Raw genomic sequence first — 22559 nt, forward strand, 5'->3', positions numbered from 1 at the left:
TAATTCATTATGGAAAATCAAGGATGGATAATTAGAGAGTGCTGTGGGATATCCAATAATAAGACAGTTCTTTGAGTGCCTGTACAAAACTCAGGTATTCATAGAGGTTGAGAGAGCCAAACTTATTCCCTTAACTTCTAAATAATCTCCCTCTGCAGCCCTAAATGCTAAATAAAAGTTCCAATTTAATCTCTTAATACGAAGTCATGGTAATTCCTGTAATTGAAATAGTATCTGGAGAATATGATACTTTACAAGAATTTTAGACATTAAAACTTTTCTCAAAATAATTTGAGTAATTATTTTTTTGCCTAGAAGAATCCTGAACAAACTAACACAGTAATGAGATTCGTATGTTGTCAGATGATAAAAAGGAAGGTTCTAGACATGTCTAGTGTCATTTTTCAAAATCATCTTATGCTCCAGTTTGTCTGATGCATATGGCATCCCAAAGTAGTATATGATTCAGGTACAAAGTAGCTGAAATGGTTTCCTTTTATTTGCCATTATTCAAATAAGGATATTAAGAGTTTCAGTGCTCTTTCTATAGGTGACACACATACAACACACACACACATTATGATATATGTGTGTGTTTGCCTGTAAACATATATTTTATTGTTTTTTCAATGCAAAATTGTATATATTTTTAAGCTGCCATATTGTGCAATCTCTGCCTTGTGAACCGAAATTGAAATCTGTGTTCACAATCAATGTCATCTTCAAGCTTCTCTTTCCTGGCAAGAGGTAGTTTTCCTCAGCACTGCTTCATTTGTGCTCTCCCCATCAGTGGTTTCTGCTGCCTCTGACTTCATCTGTGTGCCAGCAATATAACAAGATGCAGTGACAGAAATGTATAGCCCATTTGTCTGTAGTATATTTTTCTGTTCAAAATCCAACAGGTCAGAGCATCTAAGTGTCAATTCCAAGATAAATATTTTCATGAAGTAGCCAGAGTTCCAACTTTATGCTTTATATTTCTACTGGTATTAGGAAGGGTGAGTCATATTGCTTAGTTCCAAAAATATCTACAAGATTGAAATAACTTTACAAATCATAGAGCCCATGTTTTTGAAACTCAAGATTATACTCTCACTCATTTCCACAGCCATCCTTGTGGCTTGTAGTTTCCAGATTCATTTATTTTTTAATCTTTATTATTTTCCTATAAATAATGACATAGAGCCAGGTAAGATTATTATTATAAGAGTTTAGTCAACTTCCAATAGATCAGAAGACAAAGCTATGTTTCATGTAAATTTAATGTAGTGCTTTTAATGTTAACTGTAGGAACAAGTGTAATGTTAGAAGTCAAAGAGTGGAAAACTAACAAGACTCATTTTCTTGGCTCATTAATTTTGCAATGCAGTTGTACTTGGATTGTTCATAAAGATGCCTAAGAGCACCAGATACTTTTTCAAAACCACAGGGCAGGGGTTGTTCATCTTTTATACTTTCCACCTAGAAAAAACTTTGTATGAATATATTATATGTATTGATGATAGTTTTTTTTTACCTTTAACAGATCTATGGAACTGACAGAAAATAGAAGGTTTGCTTCACATACTGATGAGGTACTTTGCATCCAAAGAAACTTCATATCAAAAACCAATAGGTAGGTAAGAATTTTAAGATTAGTGAGGTTTCCAAATTCTATAGGATTATTAGATGATAAAAAAATTAGAAAAATAAAGTACACTCCATTCAGGAATAAGCTAATGTGATGTAAATTATGTCAAAATATGTATGTATAAATGAATAAAAGTGTTACTCATATACAAACGGGTCCATATTCAAAATATACTCTCATCAAAAAAATTCTTTAAACATAAATATTTAAGAGTTGGATTTCTTTCATAGCTGGAATGTGCCTTTAACCAACATTTATTAAACTTCTACATGGGGCCAATATTGTGGCACATTGATAGTAAAAATAGTTAATAAAGTGTAATATCTGTCCTTGCGAATTTTGGTACCAAACTGCATGAAGAACAGAGGATGCAGAGATCAAAGTATGCATGCTAAAGTCATGGAGGAGAAAATGCTATGGGAACAAAAAGAAAAGAGAACTTTACAAAAAGATCCTTTACTTCACTTATACCAGTCAAGATTTTGGGCTTGCTACTCACTCACTCCAGGCTGTCAAAATCTCCATAGGAGTGTCATATAGTACAAAGTTTGAATTTTCTGGTCTGCTGTTTTTGGCGGGATCACAATCCTTAGTTCTCAGCATTTTTATTTACTAATTCAAATTATCATAACTGATGTACATAGTTAAGTATTGAAAAGGCTCATGGGAATACTTAAAATGTGACACACCATAGGCAGCCACTAAGTCCATTAAACAATTATTGAATATCTAATCTATGTCTGGATGAAGGGATATTGAACCCATTAAAAACAGACTGAAGCTATGTGAAATGAATCTCACTTACAGATTCAAAAACACAGAGTGTTGTTTGGTAGCCAGATTCTTGATGTCACTCATCCTTAGAAACCTATGCATAGCCTGTTGAGCCACAGATCACAAATGCTTGACTGAGTGAGTCGGATTATGAGAAGCTCAAATCAAGGGTTAGCCATTAAAAAAACCCCAGATGACACAGATTTAAATGAAACAATTAAAACCTGAGTTCATTGAGCTACAGCCTCAGTAAGTATATTAAATACAGCCTGGTAATTGGACCAAGAAAGAACTCACTAAGGGGGACCAAGTGAATACTACAGATAAAGAGGGCTCATGAAGCAGGCTAATTGTCTGGAATCGCATAAATTATCTTCAATAGATAGCAACTAGTAACTAGAAGGTTAATAGTGGAAGGGAATTTGAGATTTATTTGCAAGTTAATGCAGACCTTCCTCTTTTCTTTTTTTTTTTTTTTTTTTTTTGTTTTTGTTTTTGTTTCTGAGATGGAGTTTCGCTCTTGTTGACCAGGCTGGAGTGCAATGGCAGGATCTCGGTTCACCGCAACCTCTGCCTCCCGGGTTCAAGCAATTCTCCTGCCTCGGTCTCCCGAGTAGCTGGGATTACAGGCATGCACCACCACGCCTGGCTAATTTTGTATTTTTAGTAGAGATGGGGTTTCTCCATGTTGGTCAGGCTGGTCTCAAACTCCTGACCTCAGGTGATCCACCTGCCTCGGCCTCCTAAAGTGCTGTGATTTCAGGCATGACTCACCGTGCCCGGCAGATCTTCCTGTTAATGGGGAAAAGGATCCCAAGCAAATCTCAAGCAATGGGTACAGTTTGAATACATGTTAATGTAAATATAAGTTATTATTGCAAGTGGGCATGGCTGGAACGGTCAAGAACTTACATAACTGTCTTTATTGTCAGTCTCTAATTTCAGCCAGGGAAGAACTAAAGACAGAAATTGGGAGGAGAGACAAGTTTTATTGCACAAGCTGGGTTCACTTGCACACCCCTTGAAACTATTTCAATACTGCAGTAGGAAGCTCAAGTTCCAGATGCTTGAAGGTTTTCTAGAAAACCAAAACCTTTTCATTTTTAAGATATCTTGTATGTCCCCTGAAAACATCAAGCAAAATTCCCCCATAATTTACATATAACAATAGAAGTGTTTCACATTAGTTGTGAGAAAATTGCTCATACCAAGACTGAGTGTTCTAATATTGCAATTAAAACACTGGATTAGAAATGTTAAATAATCTCTGTGTAACTACTGAGTTGTACCATGGCATGGGATTTATGATAGTCAAGAATCATTATAGAATTGATAATGATTTGACCAAATACAGTAGTTTTTTTAAAAATTTTTGTATTTTTGGTGGTTAATTTTTTAAATGTGGCTTTCTAAGTGTCCGCTCAAATTACCACCCATCCTCTAATTTTTATATATATATATGTGTGTGTGTGTGTATGTATATGTATATACACGTGTCCATATATGAAGCTATACATATATACATATATATACATATATATAGCTATACATATACACATATACATATATATAGCTGCATATATATATACACACACACACATATGCATCTATGAAGCTATGTATATCTTCACAGTCCTCTCTCTTGCCTTTAGCTTATATTTTCTTAATGCTGGGCTGAGCACAGTGGCTCACGCCTATAATCCCAGCACTTTGGGAGGCCGAGGTGAGAGGATCACCTGAGGTCAGGAGTTCAAGACCAGCCTGGCCAACATGGTGAAACCCTATCTCTACAAAAATAGAAAAATTAGCCGGTCATGATGGCGGGTGCCTGTAATCCCAGCTACCCGGGAAGCTGAGGCGTGAGAATCGCATGAACCTGGGAGGCAGAGGTTGCAATGAGGTGAGATCACACCATTGCACTCCAGCCTGGGCAACAGAACGAGATTCTGTCTCAAAAAAATTAATTAATTAAATAGATAAATAAATATTTTCTTAATGCCTCACTTGCCGGTCAAAATGTCAGCTACCCACTGTTCTACTTTTTATTTAATACTGACTTGTCATCTCCATCTGGATTTCAAACCTTTCAGAATGTGTACTAAGCTGGCATGACTTTATTTTGTATATATAGTGCTTTACACTATTTTTAGCACAAGTAGGCAATTGATAGCCAAAATTTTGATTGATATAAATGTGGAGTTCAATTTTTCAGAAACCTTCTGCAGCTTTATAGGATCTATGACCTATTCGATCTTCCGATAAATAAATAGGACTGTTCACATAATATGACACTCACTTAGAATGTTATTACATCAGCTTTTAAAGTCCATGCAAATATTCTTCTTTGCATAGCTATTTGTTACATACGATCATTCTCTAATTTTATGGCACCACCATCTTATATGATTGAGGTATTATCCAATGCACTTTTAAAACGTAATACTTTACTATATTAACAAAATCATTGTAAATAATGTAAATATTTTGCACAATGATTTAATTCTAGAATACCTCATTTACCTATTTCATAGTTCAGAGATTAAAACATATGCTTTACTTCAACTAGATGCCTTGCGATATTAACCACATAACCTGACCAGATATTTAAATATACACTAACACAAACAGACAAAATTAATTTCAAATGCATGTGGGTTTTCTATTTAGTCATAAACTTTACTTGAATAAGCTAGTGAAACATATTGTAAAAGAAATGAAGTAGTTTTTGACAGGAAATAGTTTATTACTTTAATTTACTCAAAAAAATAGTGCAATATATAAATGAGAAGAGTAATATAAAAAGAAAAAAATGTGGAATGATATTTTATGAGCCCTTGGCTGATACTTGTCAGAAGAATAGAAGAATAAAATGAAAAGAAATATATAAATACAAAGTTTTGTCGATTGATTATTTTAACCTAAATATTAATATTTAGCTTCAAATGGACTCTCAAAAGTTTTTTTGGAGTTATCTTCTGGATATTAATCCAGTAGCACTCACTTTAACATAACAATGCCTGAAATAGAAGAAATATCTTTATGAAATTTATTATAAAATATTAAATAATTATTCATCAAGGGTTACAAAAGAAGGCTGAAAACCATAATTGTAATGAACCTCCACCTTCCATTAAAAGCTAACATTCCACAAAAATCATGTTGTCCAATGCACGTGCAACCACAATGTTAACACGTCATAAAGATAACATGGGATGATTCTGATGATTTCTGAGGCTCTTGCCCAAGTCTGCATTTTCAGGCCTCTGCTAGTCAACAAAGGTGGTTTCTCCTTAGAGAATTAATGAATAACTGAATCAATTATCTTATGTTCTGGCAGTGTGTGTCTTATGCTTATGGCTGGAAGTGTTTGTTTTACCCTTAAGCCTGATTTTGCTTATGTTGATGTTGGGGTGATCAGACCCAACACTAGGTCTTGGGGGCGATGAAGTCCAGTGGAGTCAAAGGATTGAGAAAAAGACAGTTTGAGAAGTAAAGTGGGACCAGGGTGCCATCGTGATTGTGGAGGCTGCAAAGGCCCTGAGCTCTGAGAGCTCATGCTATTTATTGGTAATCCAACAAAGAAACAGGTGGTGAGAATGTGGAGGTCGAAAGGGAGCGTTGCATTAAGCACATGATTTACAGCTGTGGTGGTTTAGCATTTGCTCTGCTACTTGATAATGGAGAGCAGGTTCTTTTAACTCGAAGATAAAATGGATCCTGGGAGAGCAAGGAGCAAGTCTAGACACATTCCAGAGCCACGAGCCCTGGATTCTATCCAAGCCACGAGGGATTTTATGCCCTGGGCTTAGATGATGGTGCGTCAGGGTAGCCTTCCACCATTTAGCACAGAGCTTAGTGTTCCAAAGGCCACAAGGGGTTTTAGACCCTGGTCCCCAGACGTGTTCCAAGACTCCTTTACATTATGTCAGACATGCAGGCCCTGACTCAGCTTCTCCCAACTCTCAGCTTTTACCAACATGTTGATAAATGAGATTTTGCATTCTCCTGAAACACAGTCTCTATCTGTGGTAAACATACAGACTTCAAGAACTCAGCCATATCTGATTTTTCTTTCCTACTGGTTTCCTAGTAATATTATATTTTCTTTCTCCCATCAATTGAAGGAAGGAGTGTCATATGATTACTTTGGGCCAATGAATTTTGAGTAGAAATAATGTGCTTCAAATTCAGGCCAGAGCACTGAATTGCTGGTGCCTAATCCTTCACTGCCCTCTTCCCACTGCCTCAGTGATTAGAAATTCACATAATACAGAGAGTGGACCCAGTCCCCAAGATGATCACAGTTTCAGTAAACCAGTGCTCCTGGTGACTTTGAACACAAGATGTCTCACTCATGAACACATGCACAATGAGTATGTAACACACACACACACACACACACACAATCTTTTCTGGCTTAGCCACAGGTATTTTAAAGTGAGTTTATTATTCTAATATTCCAACACAGTCTACTCTAGCTTAATACCTTCCCTTAAAACTATATGGTAGCCAAATAACTCCGTTTTTCCTTATTCCCTATACCAGAAAACCTACATAATATTTCTGACATGTTAGACTGACGTCCCTTCGTGCTTTTTTATTCTTCTTTCTCATATCCATCACCCTTGAGTTTGGAGATGATCATAAGAATTGGGTTGTTTGCTTAGAAACTGATAACTATTGATGAATTTTCTGGGTGCAGCCTAGGTGCTTAACTTGTATTACTGCCATTTTTATTTGGCCTAATAATCTGCTCTTTATTCTTTACCAGACTCCTTTAGAATATCATTCAAATATCCCAACTACAACATTTTTGATAAGATTCGTTACCTACAAACATCCTTTCAGTTGCCATATTCCTTATTGCCTAAATTTTTTTTAACAATGATTACAGTCATGTGTTTTCTCCACATTTTGATTCTACTCTGGGTTTATGTAAATAGTAAGCAATTTAAACATTTATTATGATACAAAACAACATTTGTTTTTATGAGCAGTTCATCCATCAAGTAAATTGTGTGATTGGATTTAACTTTTTTTTACTTATTTTTCCTGTTCTTTTTCTTTTATTTTAACATAAATTAATTGAGTGAGCAATAATTGAAAAGTCAAAATTTTGGAAACAAGACGTGGTTAAAATTCAGCATTTTGAAGGTAATGCAAGCTTATCTACAAAAAATAAGTGCAGTCAGTTTTGTTATAATATTTGCTTTGTAAATGTGACTGTGTTGCAAAACAATATACCAGGAAACAATGCAAACACCATGTGAATTGCAAGTTTGCTTATGTGCAATTTTGCCTGCAAGAAACATCAGGTGAGCCCAGAAAACTACACTCACCTGGACAGAGCCACATAAGAATACATCAAACACACATATGCACATATCCCAAACAAATACCAGTGACTTAAGTTCCCTGCATCTTATGAGCTCACCCACTCACATCTGGTATCATCTATTCAGTCCAAATCAGATGACTCTCCTTCCATGACTTCCAATAACTCACAAATTGTAATCTTTCTTATGCAGAGTTCTGTGAGTCAACTTCAGACCTTTTTCAAGGTCAAGCCACATTTATTTTATACACACACACACACACACATACACACATATATATATATACAATTTATTAGGTTAAAAAAAGTGTTATTATGTTCTACATTTTTATTTTATATGTTACCAAGGAAGTTTTGAGGGTGGTGCTCCCAACCTCCCTTTCTTCTCGTAAGTCTGTGGTTTTATTATGCAATTATACATAGCATGGTAATTTTTAAAGAACTCCTATAGCATGCTGATATGGTTTGGATATTTGTCTCCTCCAAATCTTATGGTGAAATTTGATCTCCAGTGTTGGAGGTAGGGCCTGGTTGAGGTAGATCCTTTGGTTCATGAGAGCAGATCTCTTATGAATGCCATTCTCACAGGAATGAGTGAGTTTGCACTGTGTTAATTGCTACAAGGACTGATTGTTAAAAAGAGCCTGGCAACTTCCGTTCCTCTCTCATTCTTGCTTCCTTCCTCTCCCTATGTGATGCCTGCTCCCCTACACTTTTTTTCATTGGTGGAAGTTTCCTGAAACCCTGCAGAACCATGAACAAAATGGCCTATTCTGGCACTTATTCTAAAAACCGATGGAGTCTCGCTCTGTTGCTCAAGTTGGAGTGCAGTGGCGTGATCCTGGCTCACTGCAACCTCCGCCTCTGGGGTTCAAGTGATTCTCCTGCCTCAGCCTCCCATGTAGCTGGGACTACAGTCACGTGCCACCACGCCTGACTAAATTTTTTTTGTATTTTTAGTAGAGACCGGGTTTCACCATGTTAGCCAGGATGGTTTCGATTTCCTGACCTCGTGATCCACCCACCTCAGCCTCCCACAGTTCTGTGATTACAGGCATGAGCCACCATGCCCAGCCAATAAACCTCTTTTTATAAATTACCCAGCTTCAGGTGTTTCTTTATGGTAATGCAAATGAACTATGACACATACTATAGCAAAAAAGTTGGTACTGGGACTAACAATGAAATGAGCAGGAGCTGAGAAGAGACGGATTCTAGCAGCCTATTCTGGCACTTATTCTAAGGGGAATGTGCAATAATGTAACTGTATACACAGGGGAGAGTCACTAAAATAAATCACTGTAGTACACATCAAACGATGTGAGAGCACTGTGTGGTACTGAAAGCAGACAATCCCAGTGTGCAACTACTTGAAACAGAAGTTGGCTCGATTCAGAATTGCAAGCAAAAGACATTGAAGAAGCTGTCACACACACAAGCATAGTCCTCGGATCTTTCTGATAATCACAAATTGAAGAATGGCATTCACATACATGACCCAAATGTTTCCAGTACCAAGGTAGTTCTTTCAGTACACTGCAAATACTAAAAGCAAATATTAACTAATTAAATATATGCTAGAAATTAGGAGAAAACCTGCTGGTGTACATTCTGAAAAACAATGTGTTAAAACTATGAAAGCTGGACATTTGTATATACTAATTCTTCATGATATGGGAACGTATATGAATATAGATTTAGTCATAGTTAGCATAGTGCTAGATGCTGATTAGTATAAATTTTTAAAGCCATATTATATTACATATGTCAAATAAAAACAGAATTATAGCTTAGCAACATATTTACCAACATTAACATATTTTTTATGCTGCTGAGCTATACTTGCAGATATGTCTCCACTTTTTTTTAGTCAGCATGTGTATGTGTGTGTCTGTGTGTGGTATTTATTTTGGCTTATGCATTCCATGCTAAATCCCGTTCTGAGCACCATATTATCTGTAAAGCAGTATCTTTTTGAAATTTTCTTAGAATTCACCAAGAAAAATTGCTTCAGTACTGATTCTCTTTTTCTTTGTATGTTTTGCTATGGAAGGAAACTTAAGAATTTTTATAATACATAAGTCAGCTCTTAGATATTGATATGGAATTACATGTGTATTAAGTGTAGTTATATTTGCAATTGAATTTAATCCAATAATTCAATTTAGGTATCATGAATTATTATATTTATCACACACATTTGAATACAAAAACTGAGAGGAAAAGCATCTATAGAGAATGTACTAAAATTAATACATGCAATATTATTGGAGCCCGGTGCAGTTGCTCACGCCTATAATCCCAGCACTTTGGGAGGCTGATGTAGGCAGATTGCTTGAGCTCAGGAGTCTGAGACTAGCCTGGGCAACATGGTGAGACTCCGTCTCTAATAAAAATACAAAAAAACTTAGCCAGGAATGGTGGTGTGTGCTTATGTTCCCAGCTACTTGGAAGGCTGAGGTGGCAGGATGGCTTGAGCCCAGTGGTCAGAGGTTGCAGTGAGCCAGGATAGCACCACTGCATTCCAGCCTGAGTGACAGAGTGAGACCCTGCCTCAAAAACACAACGAAAAAAAAAAAAGGAAAGAAAAGAAAAAAAAAGACAAAAACAATATTATTGTATATTTCATTTAAATAAAAATGCAGTTTATATGAAATAATAAAGTCCTATTCACGTTTCAAACATAATACTTCTTTTTGCTTTACTGATTAACACCATTCTTTTAGAAATTAATTGTCAATATCCATCCATTTATTCATTATTTAACAGCACATATTTATTAAATGCATATACACACAGGATATCTACAGGTAATATGTATATAGGATATATGTATTTATATATATATACTATATATATTATATATATAGTATATATATAGTGTATATATATACTATATATATTATATATATAGTATATATATAGTGTATATATATATACTATATATATACACATACACACACACACACACACACAGAATAGATATATATATATCTGTATGTTCTGCCAAGGGTGGTAAGATTTATTGAGTAAAGTAACATAGAGATAAATATTGGGAAAAGCATCACTATATTTTTCTATATTAACCCTGTAAGGGTTACATTTGAGTAATCTAATCTGAAAAAAGATATCAGAAGATGCCATGAAATACCTGAGACTCAAGTTTTCATGCACACAAAACAGTAAAGGCAAAGGACCTTAGGCTTAACAATGCCTGGAGCCTTTGCAGAATGCCAGAAGAATGGAACAGGAAAATAATCGACCAGAAAAGAGCATTAATTTGTTAAAAGAGTTAATGTCTTGCCAGATTGTGTCTTCTAGGGCCCTGAAGACTTTGAATTTTTGTTGGCTTTTATCATCATAACTATGAGAGTGTGATGGAAATTCGTTGGAAAAAATTAAACATAAGATGAGAGGATCTGACTTAAGAATTAAAGTGTTCACTCTGGCTGTAGTGTTGAGAATACTCTTTGGGACAAGATGATCGATTACATTTCTGTTTCAATAATCGAGGAGATCAAGGTGGCTTGGATTAGGGTTGCGTTGGTGTATGTAGTAAGATGTTGTCAGAATTTGGATATTTTTGAAAGTAAATTTGAGGTGAGACAGAAAAAGAGGAATCAGAAATAACTTCACAAGTTCATGACCTGAGCCACTGTAATAATCAAATTACCATATACTGAGGATTAAAACGGAAATTTGAAGATTGAAGGAAAAATGTCAGAAGTTCAATCTGGCATGCTCTCAGTGATGTAGCTATTTATATTCAAATAATAAGTTTTGAAACATATCATCAATCTTTTATTTAACTAAGCACTGCTCTTCATTTTGGAGGAAATAATAGAATTTAAAATCTGAATTTCCTACTCAAGAAGTAGTATAAAAACATGACATTGATTTAACATACAACCTTCAGCAAAAATAAAGTGAACACAATTCCTTGGGAAATAAAATGCATATAGAGTTTATCCTGTTAGTCAATGTGATTTTCCATAGTTTGCAAGTATTATAACCAAGAACAACAACAACAAAACAATGAAAAGTTGAGTAAACCAGCTCAGTTTATGGTTACTGTGATGTTTTAAAAATCACAAATAAAATGTAACTTTTCATGCAAATCCATTTGATGTCCATGAGCACACTAGATTGTATCCTCATTTATAAAAGAGAATAGTTTGACAAGCACATAATATCAAGTCTCCAACATAGTGGATTCTATTTTGTTTAAAAAAAAAGAAAGAAAACAAGTACTCCTTAAATTTTCTTAGCTCTTTATAGCATATGTCACATGAAATTAAAGTTTGGCTTCCAAATACATTTTTCTATGTTGTCGTGGTATCATCTAGTATTGTTCATGGTCAACTAACAATGTCTTTTTTATTTTTAATTATACTTTAAGTTATAGGGTACATGGGCACAACATGCAGGTTTGTTACATATGTATACATGGGCCATGTTGGTGTGCTGCACCCATTAACTTGTCATTTAACATTAGGTGTATCTCCTAATGCTATCCCTCCCCCCTCCCCACACCCCACAACAGGCCCTGGTGTGTGATGTTCCCCTTCCTGTGTCCATGTGTTCTCATTGTTCAGTTCCCACCTATGAGTGAGAACATGCGGTGTTTGTTTTTTGTCCTTGCGATAGTTTGCTGAGAATGATGGTTTCCAGCTTCAACCATGTCCCTACAAAGGACATGAACTCAACACTTTTTATGGCTGCATAGTATTCCATGGTGTATATGTGCCACATTTTCTTCATCCAGTCTATCATTGTTGGACATTTGGGTTGGTTCCAAGTCTTTGCTATTGTGAATAGTGCCGCAATAAACATACGTGTGCATGTGTCTTTATAGCAGCATGATTTGTAATCCTTTGGGTATATACCCAGTAATGGGATGGCTGGGTCAAATGGTATTTCTAGTTCTAGATCCTTGAGGAATCGCCACACTGACTTCCACAATGGTTGAACAGAACAGAACAGAACAAAATAACAATGTTTTAAAGAAAGTTGAGGTCTTAGTCTACTCAGGCTGCTATAACAGAATACCACAGAGTGGGTACTTATAAACAACATAAATATATTGCTCACTCTTCTGGAGGCTGGGAAGTTCAAGATCAAGGCACCAACAGATTTGGTTCTGTAGAGGGCCTGCTCCCTCACAGATAGCCATTTTTTTCACTGTAACCTCACATGGATAAAAAGGTAAGGGATTTTTCTGTTGTCTCTTTTATAAGGGAACTATCCCATGCAGAAAGAACGCCTTCATGACCTAATCACTTCCCAAAGGCCCCTTCTCCTAATACCATCACATGTTTTGGATTTCAGCATATGAATTTTAGGGGGACATAGGCATTCAGTCCATTGCAGTTGGCTGTATCCATCTGGGTGCTGCAGAGAATTCCAGAATGAAAAAATTATATTGTAATTTATTAGCATTTAAAGGACATTTGGAAAGTAGATAAAAGAGAAAGTTAGGTGTAAGGGTGGACTCCAAGCCATGAGCTGCAGAAAACTCCATGTTTTATTAAGAGAATCTGGAAGATGATGAGAAAAATATAGACTAAGATGAAGCAGCAAGTGAAGTAAAAATTAAATTAGGAGAATAGTGTGAATAAAGTTCAATGAAGAAAGTACTTTATGAAAAAGAATAAATACTCCTCTAATAAATATTGCTGAATAGAGAATTGATATTGATCAATGATAAAAAATTAGCAGATTGGTGGGAAATCACCTAATTGGAGTATTCATTTGCAAAGAATAAAAGGAGAAAATGAGTAAAGACACACTATCACCACTTTTGACAATTTTCTTTCTGGGGAAAGGAGCAGAAAAAGAGAATTAATGAGGAAGGTTTAGCAAGTTTTTTTAATACGAGAAATAATAGCGTGTTTGTTTAGTCAAGGGGAGGTCAACACTGTGAAACAAAAGAAATCAAAGAAAATCACTGGAACAAAACCCATGAATAAGTGAGAGAAGATGGGATTCAGTAGACACATAAATGCAACAGGCCGCCATAGGTAGGTCACAGAGTTTATCTGCAGTTGCAAAAAGAAAGAATATGTTCTCAGATACAAATAGGTGTTCAGATGTAGAGACAGGAAATTGTGACAATATTCTTGATTGTTTTGATATTTGCTATGGGAAAAAGAAAAAGCAGCAAAATCAATAGCTGTGGAGAGAAAGAAAGAGGTTTTTGAATTAGTCATTTGAGAAATTGCTAGAGTGAATGGATGAAGAAAATAGATGAGGATTGGTGAACAAGAAAAGAAATATTCTCTTTGAAGCAATTGTGAATGGGAGTTCACTCATGATTTGGCTCTCTGTTTGTCTGTTATTGGTGTATAAGAATGCTTGTGATTTTTGTACATTGATTTTGTATCCTGAGACATTGCTGAAGTTGCTTATCAGCTTAAGGAGATTTTGGGCTGAGACAATGGGGTTTTCTAGATAGACAATCATGTCGTCTGCAAACAGGGACAATTTGACTTCCTCTTTCCCTAATTGAATACCCTTGATTTCCTTCTCCTGCCTAATTGCCCTAGCCAGAACTTCCAACACTATGTTGAATAGGAGTGGTGAGAGAGGGCATCCCTGCCTTGTGCCAGTTTTCAAAGGGAATGCTTCCAGTTTTTGCCCATTCAGTAAGATATTGGCTGTGGGTTTGTCATAGATAGCTCTTTTTACTTTGAAATACGTCCCATCAATACCCAATTTATTGAGAGTTTTTAGCATGAAGGGTTGTTGAATTTTGTCAAAGGCCTTTTCTGCATCTATTGAGATAATCATGTGGTTTTTGTCTTTGGTTCTGTTTATATGCTGGATTACATTTATTGATTTGTGTATATTGAACCAGTCTTGCATCCCAGGGATGAAGCCCACTTGATCATGGTGGATAAGCTTTTTGATGTGCTGCTGGATTCGGTTTGCCAGTATTTTATTGAGGATTTTTGCATCAATATTCATCAAGGATATTGGTCTAAAATTCTCTTTTTTGGTTGTGTCTCTGCCCGGCTTTGGTATCAGGATGATGCTGGCCTCATAAAATGAGTTAGGGAGGATTCCCTCTTTTTCTATTGATTGGAATAGTTTCAGAAGGAATGGTACCAGTTCCTCCTTCTACCTCTGGTAGAATTTGGCTGTGAATCCATCTGGTCCTGGATTCTTTTTGGTTGGTAAGCTATTGATTATTGCTTATCCTGTTATTGGTCTATTTAGAGATTCAACTTCTTCCTGGTTTAGTCTTGGGAGAGTGTATGTGTCGAGGAATTTATCCATTTCTTCTAGATTTTCTAGTTTGTTTGCATAGAGGTGTTTGTAGTATTCTCTGATGGTAGTTTGTATTTCTGTGGGATCGGTGGTGATATCCCCTTTATCATTTTTTATTGCGTCTATTTGATTCTTCTCTCTTTTTTTCTTTATTAGTCTTGCTAGCAGTCTATCAATTTTGTTGATCCTTTCAAAAAACCAGCTCCTGGATTCATTAATTTTTTGAAGGGTTTTTTGTGTCTCTATTTCCTTCAGTTCTGCTCTGATTTTAGTTATTTCTTGCCTTCTGCTAGCTTTTGAATGTGTTTGCTCTTGCTTTTCTAGTTCTTTTAATTGTGATGTTAAGGTGTCAATTTTGAATCTTTCCTGCTTTCTCTTGTGGGCATTTAGTGCTATAAATTTCCCTCTACACACTGCTTTGAATGTGTCCCAGAGATTCTGGTATGTTGTGTCTTTGTTCTCGTTGGTTTCAAGGAACATCTTTATTTCTGCCTTCATTTCGTTATGTACCCAGTAGTCATTCAGGAGCAGGTTGCTCAGTTTCCATGTAGTTGAGCGGTTTTGAGTGAGTTTCTTAATCCTGAGTTCCAATTTTATTGCACTGTGGTCAGAGAGACAGTTTGTTATAATTTCTGTTCTTTTACATTTGCTGAGGAGAGCTTTACTTCCAAGTACGTGGTCAATTTTGGAATAGGTGTGGTGTGGTGCTGAAAAAAATGTATATTCTGTTGATTTGGGGTGGAGAGTTCTGTAGATGTCTATTAGGTCTGCTTGGTGCAGAGCTGAGTTCAGTTCCTGGGTATCCTTGTTAACTTTGTCTCGTTGATCTGTCTAATGTTGACAGTGGGGTGTTAAAGTCTCCCATTATTATTGTGTGGGAGTCTAAGTCTCCTTGTAGGTCACTCAGGACTTGCTTTATGAATCTGGGTGCTCCTGTATTGGGTGCATATATAGTTAGGATAGTTAGCTCTTCCTGTTGAATTGATCCCTTTACCATTATGTAATGGCCTTCTTTGTCTCTTTTGATCTTTGTTGGTTTAAAGTCTGTTTTATCAGAGACTAGGATTGCAACCCCTGCCTTTTTTTGTTTTCCATTTGCTTGGTAGATCTTCCTCCATCCTTTTATTTTGAGCCTATGTGTGTCTCTGCACATGAGATGGGTTTCCTGAATACAGCACGCTGATGGGTCTTGACTCTTTATCCAATTTACCAGTCTGTGTCTTTTAATTGGAGCATTTAGTCCATTTACACTTAAAGTTAATATTGTTATGTGTGAATTTGATCCTGTCATTATGATGTTAGCTGGTGATTTTGCTGGTTAGTTGATGCAGTTTCTTCCTAGTCTCGATGGTCTTTACATTTTGGCATGATTTTGCAGTGGCTGGTACTGGTTGTGCCTTTCCATGTTTAGTGCTTCCTTCAGGAGCTCTTTTAGGGCAGGCCTGGTGGTGACAGAATCTCTCAGCATTTGCTTGTCTGTAAAGTATTTTATTTCTCCTTCACTTATGAAGCTTAGTTTGGCTGGATATGAAATTCTGGGTTGAAAATTATTTTCTTTAAGAATGTTGAATATTGGCCCCCACTCTCTTCTGGCTTGTAGAGTTTCTGCTGAGAGATCCGCTGTTAGTCTGATGGGCTTCCCTTTGTGGGTAACCCGACCTTTCTCTCTGGCTCCCCTTAACATTTTTTCCTTCATTTCAACTTTGGTGAATCTGACAATTATGTGTCTTGGAGTTGCTCTTCTCGAGGAGTGCCAAGCATTCTTATAAACCAATAACAGACAAACAGAGAGCCAAATCATGAGTGAACTCCCATTCACAATTGCTTCAAAGAGAATAAAATACTTAGGAATCCAACTTAGAAGGGATGTGAAGGACCTCTTCAAGGAGAACTATAAGCCACTGCTCAATGAAATAAAAGAGGATACAAACAAATGGAAGAACATTCCATGCTCATGGGTAGGAAGAATCAATATCGTGAAAATGGCCATACTGCCCAAGGTAATTTATAGATTCAATGCCATCCTCATCAAGCTACCAATGACTTTCTTCATATAATTGGAAAAAACTACTTTAAAATTCATATGGAACCAAAAAAGAGCCCACATCACCAAGTCAATCCTAAGCCAAAAGAACAAAGCTGGAGGCATCATGCTACCTGACTTCAAACTATACTACAAGGCTACAGTAACTAAAACAGCATGGTACTGGTACCAAAACAGAGATATAGACCAATGGAACAGAACAGAGCCCTCAGAAATATCGCTGCATATCTACAACTATCTGATCTTTGACAAACCTGAGAAAAACAAGCAATGGGGAAAGGATTCCCTATTTAACAAATGGTGCTGGGAAAACTGGCTAGCCATATGTAGAAAGCTGAAACTGGATCCCTTCCTTACACCTTATACAAAAATTAATTCAAGATGGATTAAAGACTTAAATGTTAGACCTAAAACCATAAAAACCCTAGAAGAAAACCTAGGCATTACCATTCAGGACATAGGCATGGGCAAGGACTTCATGTCTAAAACACCAAATGCAATGGCAACAAAAGACAAAATTGACAAATGGGATCTAATTAAACTAAAGAGCTTCTGCACAGCAAAAGAAACTACCACTGGAGTGAACAGGCAACCTACAAAATGGGAGAAAATTTTCACAACCTACTCAACTGACAAAGGGCTAATATCCAGAATCTACAATGAACTCAAATAAATGTACAAGAAAAAAACAAACAACCGCATCAAAAAGTGGGCAAAGGACATGAACAGACACTTCTCAAAAGAAGACATTTAAGCAGCCAAAAAACACATGAAAAAATGCTCACCATCACTGGCCATCAGAGAAATGCAAATCAAAACCACAATGAGATACCATCTCACACCAGTTAGAATGGCAAACATTAAAAAGTCAGGAAACAACAGGTGCTGGAGAGGATGTGGAGAAATAGGAACACTTTTACACTGTTGGTGGGACTGTAAACTAGTTCAACCATTGTGGAAGTCAGTGTGGCGATTCCTCAGGGATCTAGAACTAGAAATACCATTTGACCCAGCCATCCCATTACTGGGTATATACCCAAAGGACTATAAATCATGCTGCTATAAAGACACATGCACACGTATGTTTATTGCGGCACTATTCGCAATAGCAAAGACTTGGAACCAACCTAAATGTCCAACAATGATAGACTGGATTAAGAAAATGTGGCACATATACACCATGGAATACTATGCAGCCATAAAAAATGATGAGTTCATGTCCTTTGTAGGGACATGGATGAAACTGGAAATCATCATTCTCAGTAAACTATCGCAAGAACAAAAAACCAAACACCGCATATTCTCACTCATAGGTGGGAATTGAACAGTGAGAATACATGGACACAGGAAGGGGAACATCACACTCTGGGGACTGTTGTGGGGTCGGGGGATGGGGGAAGGATAGCTTTAGGAGATATACCTAATGCTAAATAATGAGTTAATGGGTGCAGTACACCAGCAGGGCACATGTATACATATGTAACAAACCTGCACGTTGTGCACGTGTACCCTAAAACTTAAAGTATAATAATAACAATAATAATAAAAGAAACTTTTAAACTCAGTTTTTTTCTCTAGAAAAAAATACAATATTGACTTGGGGAAAGGTACTTTTTAAGCACATAGAACTCATCTATACCTAACCTGCCAGAAGCTTTTCGCTGGCTCACTCATGCCTTGGATCTTTCATTGACTTCAAATATTTTTTCTTCTTACTACTCTCTAGCATGCTATCTTTCTTCGTGTTATATTCTGCAGTGATCTTCATTAACTGCCCAATATCAAACTATGATTTTTATAAGGATGGCCATACACTTAGATGTTTACATTACTACATAATATGAATGTGAGTTACATACTGACTTTTTCTACATGTCTGTTATACGTTAATATCTATAATTTAGTTTCTGCAATATATTCCCTATTTTTGAATAAGAATTGGGTTTCCTGTTGCTCTTCCAAAAACTAAATCAATATTATTTTATCCTAATAGATAGACTAATTATTACTACAAGAAAGATGCTGATAACGATGCCATGCTGTACCAGTGTAAGGTAAATTATAATATTACCATACAACCTGGGATATTTACTTAATAGATTTAACCATTCTAGATAATTCAATAAGAACGATCTTCCTCAGCAGAGTTTGCTTTAAACATTACAAACTTTATCGGCCAGCCTTCTACACTTAACCACTTGCTGGACCAGTCGATGAGCCCCGTTGCCTCTGTAAATCAAACTGATTGATGCCTAGGGCATATCACTTGCCCATGGCAGGTCAGTTCCCTCCCTGGATGGCCATTAACTTCAGCTTCCACCACTTGAATTTTACTTAGAAAAACTGAGGTGTCTTTCTTTCAAAGCTTGTTATACCATATATGCTTACAATTACAGCAATGTCACTTAAATGTTATGAAAATAAATTGAGATACATTCAAAATAGAAGATATTCATTATTTTACATTGTTTTGTAAGGCAATAAACATAATATATGGGATAATAATTGTGGACCAGATAACTATGAAAGATTGGGGATGTAAAAATATAAATGCTTCTCCACTGAGATTGCCACATAGTATTTTCATATCCTCTCTACAGAGTGAATGGATTAAACCCAAAAGCAATAAATGATGTATCATGAGTATGTCTTATGTAATGATTATAATATCAATTGTCATTAGGCCAACCTGTCTGCAAAAATGTATTCTCTTCATAAAAATGTATGTATTATTGTATAATACATTATATCAACACCTATCTGTAGGTGTATGCATGTACCTATGTACAATCATAAACACACATATCCCATACATATATGTGCAATGCTGCATATGTTTACTATGCACTTTTGAACTCACTATTTCAAGGAACCAAAAAAACAAAAATAGGGGTTTATTCTAATTGATTCAAATATTTACTTCTAATTTACTTAGTCTTTGTAGACACATTAAAAAAAACACTCACCAATTACTTTTTTAGAATGGTAAATTTGAAGTTTTTAGACTGATGCCACAGTTTTACTGGTTGTTTTTAAAGACAGAGAGGTGAATTGGGTTATCTTGGTTTTGTATCTTTTATCACTAACATTATATTTAAAAATGAAGTTAAAATTGTAGCTTAGGAAACAATAGCTCCTAATGCTCTTAAGTCTATCACATTAAATCTTGCACATTTTGAGGAAAATAGGATTTTTTTTTACTCTGCATAAGTGTTTTACCACAAAGAACATAGAAGCATATATAAACAAGGTTAACTTTTTTTTTCTTGATAATCCAGGAAAGACTATGTTCTAGTATCAGCCAAGTTTTAACAAAACATTTTATCATTTTTCATAATATAGATGATCCCTTTGTAATACAACTATCTACTTTGATGATGTCAAAGAAAAAATTGCATCAATATTACATAGGCAAGGAACATTTTATTCAAGAGGACAGATAAGAACTCAATTTGAACTCAACTACAATGGAATAAAAGGCTGGAGGATTTTAAAAGTTGGTCAAGGAGTTGGGGGAGTGGGGGAGATCATAAGCTATTTTTGCTAGTAGGTGTTCCCAAAGGAAAAATAAACTTTCCCATATCTTTATCACAGGAATGATATGCCCACTGAAGTTAGGCTCCTACACTCCTACAAAGACTGGGAGATAGGAGTGCTATCATTCTTGATATTTACATTTCAAGAAGATGGTTCCCAGATCCTGGGGAAAGAAATTCCTGGGTTTAAATAGTAGCGAGAGGATTTTAAATAGATTTACATACATCTCAAAGGAACAGATAATGAGTTTATAATTACAAGTTTTCTAAAAAAATGTTCTAAGAAAAGGGAACTCAGAGATTAGAAATAGGAAAAAGCCTGTATAAAGTTTAGTCAAGCAGAGAGGAACATTAAGGCTGCCTTGATTAATAAAAATATTCTATTTCTTCAGTAGACAATGTGGTAGTGACTAACCACTTGTGGATTTTGAGGTCGTGAAATGTGGGTATTATGGCTGAAGTCATTGAATATTTCCTTGTATTTAAATGTAGTTGAGGTAAATTTAAATTAATTAGCAATAAGTAGCTAATGGCTACAGTATTGGGCAATACATATACATGGATACATAATCAATAGTTATTATCTTGAACAAAAGTAAAATCTTTAGTTAAAAATGAAACATAATTGATATATAAAGCACCTGCCTTTACATTTAGGATAGCTTAGGTAGTAATTTGTGTTGCTACTCTTTATTAGTTATTTGTTTGTTGTCATGTGATTTCATTTATGATGAATAATCAAGAGTCACTAAACACACCCTGACTTATTAATTTGCAAATATTTGTTTTCAAATATTCATTTTCCACACACCCAAAGGGTACCAGTGCATGAGGAAATTCCATGAGAGAGAAAAGTAAATAAACTTCCATATTTTGCATTTCTGCTTTGGTTACAACATCATTCCACATTCAGTGCTGGAGTTACACAGCACTATATTTCAAAACCAACTTTTCTATAAAAAAGGTGTCTATCTATTGTTTATCACACCTTTTTTTTCTGAATTAATGATATGGGTAAATGTCCAGGCCCACAATTATTCACCCATTGCTTAATCCAGTTTTGTTGCAGGAGATAGAAATTTCCAGAAGAAATTACTCTGCATCCTCATTCTTTCTTTTCTCTTCCTTTTGTTTAGGAGAGATATATACCCGAATCCCAAGGTCAACCTGTGTCCCACTGTTAGCATCTCCTTTCATAGCTGTGTTGCCAGGACCAGGATTTGCCATCAATTCCTCTCCAACCTGTAATGTCAACTGCTCTTTCCACTGACTCCTACTTCCAACCCAAGTCTAAAGTCAAACTGACGTTTTTCCCAGCCAGGAATGACAGAAACCAACAGTGGCAGCAATAACAACAACTAAAAAAACAACAGACACTCTCGTGGTTAAGGAAGTTGCTCCGATTTTCATGTGTTGAAATACATATAAATGCATGTAAGAATTATAAATACATATAAGACTTAAGGACAGTCTACATTCCCAGAATCTTTTATCAAACATCTTCTAGAAAAAGCAAACAAGCAAAAAAAAAAATTAACCAAGTCTTACTTACAGATATAGAGGTAAAAATCCTAAGAAACACAAAAGAGAGAGAGAGAGGGGGGAGAGAGAGAGAGAAAAGAAAGAAGAAAGAAAAGAAAGAGAGAGGAGGAAGGAAGGGAGGGAAGGAGGGAACTATAATACCAAAAGCTTAATATAATATTCTCAACTAGAGTGTATAGCAAAAATGAAAGCATGCTTTATCATTTGTCAATGTAATTCATCATTTTATTAAGGAAGGAAAATATGTGAGAAGTTAGAACTTTATCCTAAAAGACAGTACAACCTGGAGAAGAAAAGCTCAAAGTATAGAATCAGATAATAGAAGTTTAGAACTTGACTTTACCACATCCTTGCTGTGTCATCTAGTCCACATTTTCTAACTTCTCTGTACCTATTTCCTCATCTGTGAAATTGGAATAGCAATATTGC

General features: G+C 35.8%; 1 long non-coding RNA gene across 1 annotated transcript; it reads left to right on the top strand.

Moving 5' to 3' along the window:
* The first annotated feature begins 1097 nt into the window (after positions 1-1097).
* Positions 1098-19105, top strand: LOC107986409 (uncharacterized). Its single transcript, XR_001742621.1, has 3 exons — positions 1098-1189; positions 1526-1615; positions 19046-19105. It is a non-coding gene; the product is annotated as an uncharacterized LOC107986409 (long non-coding RNA).
* Positions 19106-22559: the final 3454 nt, after the last annotated feature.

This window comes from Homo sapiens, chromosome 5 (assembly GCF_000001405.40).
Source record: "Homo sapiens chromosome 5, GRCh38.p14 Primary Assembly".
Taxonomy (NCBI): Eukaryota; Metazoa; Chordata; class Mammalia; order Primates; family Hominidae; genus Homo; species Homo sapiens.